Source organism: Homo sapiens, chromosome 2 (genome assembly GCF_000001405.40).
Source record: "Homo sapiens chromosome 2, GRCh38.p14 Primary Assembly".
Classification (NCBI taxonomy): domain Eukaryota; kingdom Metazoa; phylum Chordata; class Mammalia; order Primates; family Hominidae; genus Homo; species Homo sapiens.
In genome coordinates this window covers 107,355,161-107,365,856 of record NC_000002.12, presented here as the reverse complement: position 1 = coordinate 107,365,856, position 10,696 = coordinate 107,355,161, and the positions used below count along the sequence as shown (strand labels likewise).

At 39.9% G+C, this 10,696-nt stretch overlaps 1 long non-coding RNA gene across 1 annotated transcript in view; it reads left to right on the top strand.

The window, feature by feature from the left end:
• Positions 1–283: 283 nt before the first annotated feature.
• LINC01789 (long intergenic non-protein coding RNA 1789) overlaps positions 284–10,696 on the top strand; it is a 110,883-nt gene continuing 100,470 nt past the window's right edge. Inside the window, exon 1 of the long non-coding RNA NR_183814.1 lies at positions 284–377. This is a non-coding gene — a long non-coding RNA (long intergenic non-protein coding RNA 1789). The remainder of the gene's footprint in view (positions 378–10,696) is intronic.

The window sequence follows — 10,696 nt, the reverse complement described above, 5'->3', positions numbered from 1 at the left end:
GCATAACAAGTCACGTAAGGGAGCTCTTTGGTTTTTCCTGGGAGTTAAAGTAAAGATTTACCTCCTCTTAATTTTTCCAGTGGGTGGTAAACAAACTTCTCTAAGCCTCTTCTGGTAAGGGCTTCCGAGATAGTTTTTACATGCAGGAAGAGAGAACAAGTGCAGGCAACGTCCAAGGTCCTCTTGTTTTGCAGATCACTGCACAACAGACCCTCAGGTAGAACAAGTTTAGATAGTGACTCTTAACCAAAGTACAAGTTAGCATCACCTGGAAGACTTTACTAACCATGGTTGGCTGAGAGTCTGTGGGAGCAGAAGAGGAAACTGAGGCTTTAGAGAACTGTAGCACATTGGCAAGGACATCCAGCTCATAAACAGTGAGTCTGCCTCCAACTCATCTTTCTTCCCAGCTCAGATGTCTGCTAGGGCTCTATCTGGTAACTATGTCAAAGACATAATTTTAATTCAGAACAAGATTAAGAATCCTACATTTCTTGATGTTGGTGAGTTAAGTTGATATATATTCTGCTAGTGATTAAGATTTTAAATTACTAGATTTAGAGTAAGATTGATATGATCACTTATTTTCTTTGAGAAATTCACAAATGAAAGGTCAAGTGAGGATTGAAAAGTAGGGGTCATTATTTGAAAAGATCATTCTCTCTAGTAAGTCTTTAAACAGAGTGCCCTGACAACATTAGTGGAACCAACAAAATGTGTCTTTTACCTTAAGTGGGGTCAGTATTCACAAAGACCTATTGAGCCTTCTTATTAAGGAGCTTTAACTAAAGGACTAGGGAATGCACCCACCACAAGGTGTAGATTGCTATACAGTGTAAGAAGATCACTGTGCAGTGTACTGATGTATTGTAAGGTATAGATCACTGTGTTGGTGTGAGAACTACATAACCACACAATATAAAGAGAACACAGCAGTGGAGGGAGTAGATGACTGTGCAGCAGAAGATGTCATCAGAATGCAGTATAGAGAGTAGATCGCTATGTGGATTACAGTGTTGATCACTGCACCGTATAAGGTGTCAGTCACTGTGTCGTGTAGGGAGCAGATCACAGTGCCATAGGATGTACACCACTGTGCAGTATAGCGGGTATCACTGTGCAGATTGTATCACTGTGTACTGTAGAGAGTGTATCACTGTGCACCATAGGGAGCAGATCTCTGTGCCATAGGATGAATACCACTGTGCAACATATAGTGGGAATCACTGTGAAGTGCAGAGAGTGGATCACTGTACAGTGCAGGGTGTGGATGACTGTGCACTCAAGGGAGTAGATTACTGTGCAGTGTAAGGTACAGACTATTACACAATGCAGGGTACAGAGATGTGCAATGTAGTGTTCATCCCCATGTAATCCAGGAAATGCATCACTTAGAGTTTTATCTGTGTTTACCAGTTACCATCTTGTTCATAGTAGTAAGATGGTCTCTTTATATAGGAGCAATGTGTTTTTCAGTGTTTGCTTTTCCTTGGTGTCCTACATGTGTCTTCGATGAATAGCCATCTCAGAAGAGACTTTGTTGAGCCCCTCACAGTGTGCAGGCACAGTGGAGAGCAAAGACTACAGAGAATGTGGTTCTACCTTTGACTGTTATACAATCTGATAGGGCAGTAAAATACCAAAGTGTTCCTGAAAACATTTATGAGAGGGTGTAATAAATGTTACAGACTGAGGCGCAGCCTTCATCTGAAAAGGGGATGAGTGGCTGATAAGAGTAGCAAGAGAAGTGAAGAGAACATAATTCACAGAGAATGGGGAATTATAGCTGTGTATTTGATGGAGGGAGGGCAGTCCAGGATGTGGCAATATGAAGTCTGTGTAAGGCTTGGTTGACTAAGTGATGAGGTTAGAAGGTTACTCCCTCAAGGGTGGCCAAGGAACCATGCACATCGGCATCACTGGGGAGTCTTCATTTAAGAAGCAGGTTTTTGAGCCTTCTCCCACTTAGTGAGAGTCTCTGGGAATATGCATTATAGCCAGTTATCCCAGGTGACTCTCCATGGCACTAAGGTTTGAAACTGCTGGTTAAATGACAGAGACACATATGTGGATCTGGAGAAACTAGACTGAAGCCAGGAGAGCAACAAGAGAGGTCAGCAGGAAGTTTAATGCCAAGCTCCGGTGTACTGGATCATACTCAGGGCTGCCCTTGAGCCCATGAAGGTGGAGGAGAGTAGAAATAAATGCTGCCTGGAAATGGGCACAAGGATGTTAACAAGAGCAAGGCATGGCAAGAGGGTACAAAGCTGACTGCAGGCCGGGCACGGGTGGTGGCTCACGCCTGTAATCCCAGCACTTTGGGCGGCTGAGGCAGGCAGATCACTTAAGGCCAGGAGTTTGAGACCAGCCTGGCCAATATGGTGAAACCCCGTCTCCACTAGAAATACAAAAAAATTTAGCCAGGCATGGTGACACGCACCTGTAATTCCAGATCCTTGGGAAGCTGAGGCAGGAGATTGCTTGAACCCAAGAACTGGAGGTTGCAGTGAGCTGAGATTGCATCACTGCACTCTGGCCTGGGCAACAGAGAGAGGCTCTGTTTCAAAGATAAATAAATACATAAATACATAAATAAATAAATAAATCTGACTGCCAAGCCAAATAAGGGAAGTCATGCAAATCTTTTTCAGTCTCATTTCCTGTCTTCTTTGAGGAATGTGGGGTAGGTCACATGATCTGAGATTGTGTCCTCTGAGCTGGAAGCAGAACAGTGGACCCTCATACTGATGAAACAGAGACAAGAAATGTCCCTCCTTCTCTCAGACATTATGAAAAACACATATCTACAAAGTTTATGGGGCTTTAGTACCTCCAAGCGTGTAATTTCCCAGATGAAGATGTCTAATAGAGGTTCACTGCCAGTGGAATTCATCACAAACATCTCAACACAGTGTTATCCAGCATGTCTGCCCACATACCTTCTACTCTGATCTCCCACTTATTTTTGGACATGCCATGGACAAACTCCAACCAGGAGTTTTGTCCTCTGCAGCCCCAGCATCTGCCGACCTGCTGCAAGCCACAGCCAACCGTCTGCTTGATACTTCAAGCCCCCTCTCAAATTCCAGCTCCTTCATAAAGCCCTTCTCATCCCACCTGATCCCTCTTTTCTCCAAGTCCTTGGAACGTTTTATGATAACTTAACACCTTCTGCCTTGTGTTCTGGCTATGTGAACACTAATATCCCTCTGGCTGGGCTGGGGCCTACCAGAGAATGAGTTTGTACTCTGTCATTATCACTAAAATTTTCCTGGATCCCTACAAAACAGGCTGCATATACCAGATGCTCAATAAATATTTATTCAACCAAACTGGACTCAAAAAATTTGTAAAGTTTCAATAGGATATACATAATGAAAAATTGTTTATTAAGTTCAGAACTGTTCTGCTTAGTGAATGCATGAATCAAGCATCAAAAACCTCAGTGCAATATGAGAAACTTGCACCACTTACTCACCCTCACTATCAGTCCGAGGAGTGTTTTCTTTCCCTGGGATTCCCTCATGATTTGCAAGGCAGATCCAATCCCCTCCAGTCCATTCTGATCCGTCCCCTTCATCCATCAGGCACTGACAGCACCAATCCATGATTACTAAGGGAGGCAGAAACCCCAGTCAGCTAGTCTCTTTGTCTGGACATAGGGCTATTCATGGAAACTGCATATTCAGGGTACAAATAAGTGTCAGCTGAGAGTCTGAACCAAATGATTGATTGCTCATTTCTCCGTGAGAGCACTATTTGGAACAAAAGGCCTGATTATCAAATCACTGACACAAAAACAAAATAAGCTGATGGCGCCTTCTGATTATGAACTGAAGATTTTCTGCTAACTTCATCCTGAATGTCTCCTTCTTAGGCTTCCAGGCACCATATGATTAAACTTGACTGATGGGAGCTTAGATCCAAGGGATGTTAATTTATAGATCAGCTGCATAGTGCCTTATGCATGGATTTTTGGGCTTCCTTAAGCATAAGCCTTTGGGAGCTCAAGGACTCTGCCTCACTGGGTTTGGAAAAAAATTGTCCTATCAGCTCAGCACACTCTAGGGAAGCTTTTATGGGCTTCAGAGAACTCCAGATGCCTTTGGTTGGCCTGTCTTTTGATTGAATGCAGAAATTATCTGTTGCTTCCAGTTCATAATTTCTAAAGTTTCTTACTGTTGTAGCTTATTGAATCCATGAACTAGAGTTGATGTGCATAGAACAAATACAAGATATAAATCTTCACTCTTCTCATGAGGAACTATGGTGCATTTTTTCGGCAGGCAAATACATGAAGCATTGCAACACAGATACTCTAGTGAGACCAAAAATACAGTTTTAGCTTTTCCTTTGTAAAAATGTTTAATACTCTTGTAGCTGCAAACACAGAAAGATGAAAATAAATTTGTACAAACAACAAACAAGGCCAATAGTTCTTTATGTTATTTTTGCCGTGTTTATTGATGGAAACAGAGACATGGGGAGTTTTATCTGACTCTGAGCCAGAAATGCTCAACTGTCTTCTAAAGAATTTGTCCAAGCATAAAGTCAAGATAGAAGGAAAAGACAATACCTAGAATCAGACATTGTTGTGGATTTGAGAACATTCTTGCTTTAGATAAGGAGAGCAGCTGTGACGTTCCTCTCGTTTCACACTCAAGTTGCGTGGGGCTGCTAACTCGGGCAGGGACAAGCCTACAACTTCTCATTTTAACCTGTGTCCACTTGCTGGGCTGAACCTCTGCTGCTATTCACAGTCTCTTTCACAGTCTCTGATATTTTGTAATGGATTCTATGCCTAGATTTTACATTATTTTTTCACATTTCCTTGTAGAATACTCTCAAGTCCAGAGAAAGGGAAACTATTAGGTACAGTAGGAATGTAGAAAGCAAGAGGTCTCTGCTTGGAGAAGGCTTTTTGGAAAGCAGTTTTTGAAATGGTCCTGAGTCAGTAAGTTTGCTTTTGAGATCCATCCTAAGAAATAAATTTAAAATATGACCAGGTGTTCAAAAACAACAAGCTCATTGAAGCATCTGTGACGTTGCTACCCTCTGGAAAATGGAGACTTTGCAATGGTGGCAGTCCAGTCACCAAGAATCAGTTGAGGATTAGCTACTGTGTTGGAATGATGCTTTAGGCAGACATGAAAATTGCCATGTCCATGTGTGTCAGGCACTTCAGAAGGCATTATCTCTTTTAATCTATAGAATTACCATTGCCATTCCCATAGAGGGTTAAATGAAACCTATATAACAAGCTGGTAATTGGCAGAGCAAAGGTTTCCATCCAGGCATTTCAAGTCCAGAATTTGAGTATTTAAGCACTTTCTTTTACTGCAAAAGAATTTTCTCACTATACACACAAAACATGTTTCATTCCTCATTGAGGCCCATTGCCGTAATGAGCCACAAGATCCCCTGGAAGGTGGGAAAGCCCTTAGTAATGAGAGTAGAAAATGGCGGAAGACTGTGGTGCTAATCAGAAAATACTCCAGAGACATCAGATCTCCATTGGTCCTGGAAATTCTACCCCAATATGGTGATGTCTCCATCTACCTTAATCAACATGAAACTTACCAAAATTGATTCATTTTCTTTTAGATGTATGAGAATCAGGCAGAATCTCTGGGCCATGATTGTTATCATTAACTCATTCATGAGACATACTCTGAGCCAGGCACGGTGCTGTGGATTGGGGCTGTGGGGACAAATGCATGCCCCAGCCATTAAGGAGCTCAGAGTCCAGTCTAGCAAAAAGAAAGTAAACAGATGATTCCAGTGTGATCAGTGATCTTGGAATAGGCTGGAGGATACAGATATTCAGGGGCAGCAACTGTCATTAGCCCATATCATATGCTATATTTCCTTTTCTTAGGGCCTTGTTCTTGACATTTTTTCGTACAAGATACCACTTTCCTCAAGAAAGCACAGGATAAGTTAATATCTATTAATCGTTAAGGGAGGTGGGTTGATCTCAACACAGTAGACTTTTTTAGTACATGTTCATTGTTTGCTAATATTTATATCAATTGCTTCTCCACTAAGCATGCATCAATTAAACCTTGGAAAAACAGAAATAGGAAGAGAAAATCAAGCTGGATTTTTTTTTCTTTATATGAAATAAAAGAGAGAGTTGAAAATATTTTTAAAGGCACATTAAATAGACCCAGATATTTGAAAAGGTATTTATACCACATGTATATAAAACATGTGGTATACTTTAGAATTCCTGGCTCCTTATGAAGATATTCAAAGTTAAAGCACTTACATTCATAAAGAAAGCCTGTGTGTGTATATCTGAACACATAATCCACAAAGCATTACTTTGGTCCATTTACAAGCAATATAATCATAACATAAATTTTAAAACTAAGTCCCCATTAATACACAGATTGTCCTCCTAGAGTTCAACTGGTCACCCAAGGGCAACAGCAGCTTGAAAAAGACTCTGTGACTTAAGGGCCCCCCACCACCCTCCGTGCCACTTGACATCATCCTGCCTCTTCAAAGTATGGAAATCCAGAATACGTTTTGCAGCAAGCTCAGGTCAAAAAAGCTTTGGGCTAAGGGTGTTAGCAAGAGGAAGGGCACAAAGAGGCTGGCAAGTTGCTCCCACTGGACAAACAACTCTAGTCATCTACCCATCCACCTCTGTAAAATGAGATCATGGAAGAAACACTGGGAGGCTCTTAGAACAGGGTCTGGAATGAGTAATGGGATTTGCAGAGGAATTCTCACTGCCTTTCACACTCTGCCACTTTCTGACTCTGTGGAAGAGCATGAAATGAGAATTCCGCATTGCGTTCTGATAAGGGACTAATGTATTAGATGTGAAACAAACTCATTCCCATATAGGCTGTTTGTTAATTTTCAAAGCACTCCTATATCTACAATATCATCTGATCCCCATAATCATCCTACTGAATGATCCTAAAACATGTCATAGTTGACAGAACGTTTAAAAATAAGATGTGAAAAACATGTAGGCACAGGTAGGCAGGAAGATGATTAAAGATTTAACTGTAGATGGTGGGGGCAAGCCTTTTAAATGTTTTATTTCCAGGGAGGTGCTCTTCTAGCCTGTGTGTCTTGTAGCCTGTGTGTCTGGGTGTGCATTTTTTAGAAGCGTACAGAATGAATAAGCACACAGGAGATAAGGGTGAGAGATAGCTGGGGCAAAGGCCCAGAGGTATTACTCCAAGGAAAAGGGAATAATTACTCAGTATCTCTACCAGTTTGGTATGTATTACCTGTGGTAAGAAATCCGTCACAGATGCCTGACTTCCCTCCACCCTCAGTACCGCCCCATCAAAAGCAAAAGTCTTGTGTGAAGGCTTTGTTGTGGACAAGGAATGCAAAAGTAGGCAAGACCGATGATGAGAATTTGAAGCTAAGAGAAAATGAGGCAGCCAAGCATATCCCAAGGCCACTTATGCCTGATAGAAAAATAAAGAAACTTTAATTTGTTCACGCTTGACAGCCGCAGAAATGTGAGCCCCTGAGCAAACTGTGTCAAAAAGGAGAATTATTCTGTCTTGCTTCTACAGCTTAGGAAACACAGAGGGGATGAGGATAAGGGCGCCGAGCTCCACAACCCCTTGCTCAGTCACAGTGAAATTTAACATTTCACCTGTGCTGTGACTGGCATTGAGATGTTTCCCAAAATCTATTTATGAAGACAGGGGCTGAATTTGCATGACAGTCAGGAAGAATATCACAAGGTAGAATACGTTTTAATATTTAAAATACAAATTACCCAAAACGTGATGAAAGTTTGCTTTTGCTGCTCCATCAAAACAGATGATTTATAAAACTGTGCATTTTCAATGGACTAAAATGTAGGCCATGATGGTGAGTCGATCGGCAAGCACGGTGACCTCCACCTTCCCACTTGCAGTGACTGCATTGCACAGCCCAGTGGGTGTACGGGAGCACTGGATACGACTGTAGGAAGACTGTTTACATGTTCTTAATTGGGTCCCCTAAGCACAGAGCCTAGTCAGGCATGCTTTTAAGTACAGATCTTTATACTTCACTCGTAGTTACAGGTTATTTTCTTGCTGCTTTGAGACAGTTTTCAGAAAACTAGTAAAAGGCAGTTACACACCTGCAAAAGGCCATGCTTCATCAGACAGACTGGCAGGCTAGGCATTGTCTACGTTTCCTAAGAGGAGTATGTAATGAGTGTGTAGCTGGGATGGGTCGCTGCAAAGATGATAATACACATACCCCTTCTCTATTACGGGGAGTGGAACCAAAAAGAGTAAATATTAGTAACAGTAACTTGTCAGAGGAAGCTCCAGAGCTACCTTGACTCAGTGTTTTCCCTCCGTTTTAAATATTTATTTATTTATATACTCATTTATTGATGTTTTACTGATTATAAATGCAATGTATATCCATTACAGAAAGAAATCTTAAAGTACAAAATATGAACATTAAGTATAAAATCCACCTGTAATGATATCACCTAAAGATTATAACAGCTAAAAGTTTTAGTGGATCTTCTTCAAATTTTGTATTATGAATTCTTAAATATTAGTGTCAGGGGAGAGTTTTTAACCATTATTTCTTCATCTAACCCCATATCATTAGTAATTTTCTATGTTTCCATATATTTTCCTACAACATCAGTGTTAATGTCGCCACAACATTGAATCCATTCAGTGAAGTGGATGGGTATGTCTGCATGAGTTTGACCTCATTTTGAGGCAATTAAGTCGTTTTCTCTTTTTTGTTAATATAAGGGATTTTTTCAATAGGCACTTACATATGTGAATACTAGCCTTATTTTAAAATTATTTTCCTACGGTAGATTTTTATAATTGGAATTGCAGGGTCAGACACACGCGAATTTTCTGTGTTCTGGCTCAGGTGGTTCCTCACAGACACAGCTCAATTTGCCTTCCCTGGAGCAGGAGGAAGGGTGGGTATGTCGGCAAGGGAGGCCGAAACCACTCCCTCTCAATGATGGGTTGAGAACTTCTGAGAAAATCTGACCAAAATTCTCCCTTGTAATTTTCTGCCATCTATTAATTCATGCCAGAAATTTATTTAATGGGAGACTAAATCTTTTATTACAAAATACGTGTGTGTTATGATGCAAATAGCTATGGAAGAGAAACATTATCACTCGAATTCTGGCAGTGCATGTGATTAAACCACGTGTCCCTTTTCATTCCCTACCTACCAGCAGAATTTTATACATCCACAGAGAGCAGAGCACTAGGATTTTAAAATGAAAAGAGTAGAAAGTTAAAGGAAAACAAAATAGATACCAGAAGAAAAATTCTCACCTGCCATAATGTTCCCATGCATATTTTGATAGGAGAGAAGAGATACCAAGCTCCACTTAATAAATCAGTAAATAATAGATTTTTAAGAATTGGGATTCACTTTCCTTCGGTTAAGAACTTGCATACTGGCATTGAAGGATTTCTGCTTCCAAATAAACTGGATTAATGAGGATGAGTTTATTCTCCTGCCTGAAGCAACAACAACTAAACTGAGACAAAATATGGGTAACAATAGTTTTCAAGTGACTGAACATCAAACATGACCCTGGATATACGAATGAGAGTGACCCCTGAGAGATAGAAAACAAACGAGGTATATTTTAGGATTTCCTGAGTTTACTAATAAAAGGGAGTTTGTGGGATACTATAATGAGGGCAAAAATCTAGGTAGAATTCAGCAGACACCCTAAATTGAAAAGAAAAAGCTGCGAGTCAGAGAATATCAAGGCAGCTAGGGGTGAGATTACCAGAATTCTGAGAGCTGCGCTAAGAAAGAAGCCCAGAAATTTGTACAGAATCCTATTGTAGCATTCAGCAAAATAGTCATTCTTTGAGGAACCTACTAAAAACTAGAAAAAAGAAAAACTATTAAGGACAATGCCCAAAGCTGACATGCAAAAGGGAATGAATCTGTTTCCAGGATCCAGGCTGGAGAACCTCAAATTTTATGGATCATTGGATTGCATAATAAGAAGGTATTTGCTTCAATATTTGAAAATAATTAGCCCTAAACCTAAGGCTACTCTGATCTTCGGTAGGAATTCCTAAAATCAAGACACAGATACATCAAACTGTTTCCAACTCTTTAGCTATGCCAGAACAAATCTCAAGAATATCTATAAGAATACCAAAATATTCACATAACGCAAGATAAAATTCAGTGTCCAGCATTCAATAAAATATTTCCAGGAATATAAAATAAGTAGGAAAATATAACATAATAAGGAGAATATCAATCACATAAAACTTACCCATAAATGACACAGATGTTAAAATTAGCAGCTAGGGACATTAGAACAGTTATTATAACTATATTACATATGTTCAAAACAGTCTGAAGTTAAACAGTGGTCGTTTGTTGTACCATTCAATGAATATATTAAAAAGCACTTAATTGCATACTTTAAAGAGATAAATTTTATAGGATATGAACTATATCTCAATAAAGGTATTATTTCTTTAAGAAGGTGAAATAAATAATTTTTCAGACATGCAAAAGAAGAAACATTCATTAGCATCACACTTGCACTACAAGAAAAGATGAAGAAAGTAATTTAAGCAGAGAGAAAATAAAACCAGAAGGAAATATAAGTCTAAACAAAGGAATAGAGAACAAAGGATAAGGTAAATACATAGATAAATATATGGAATTGTTCTTAGTACTCAAATCTCTTTAA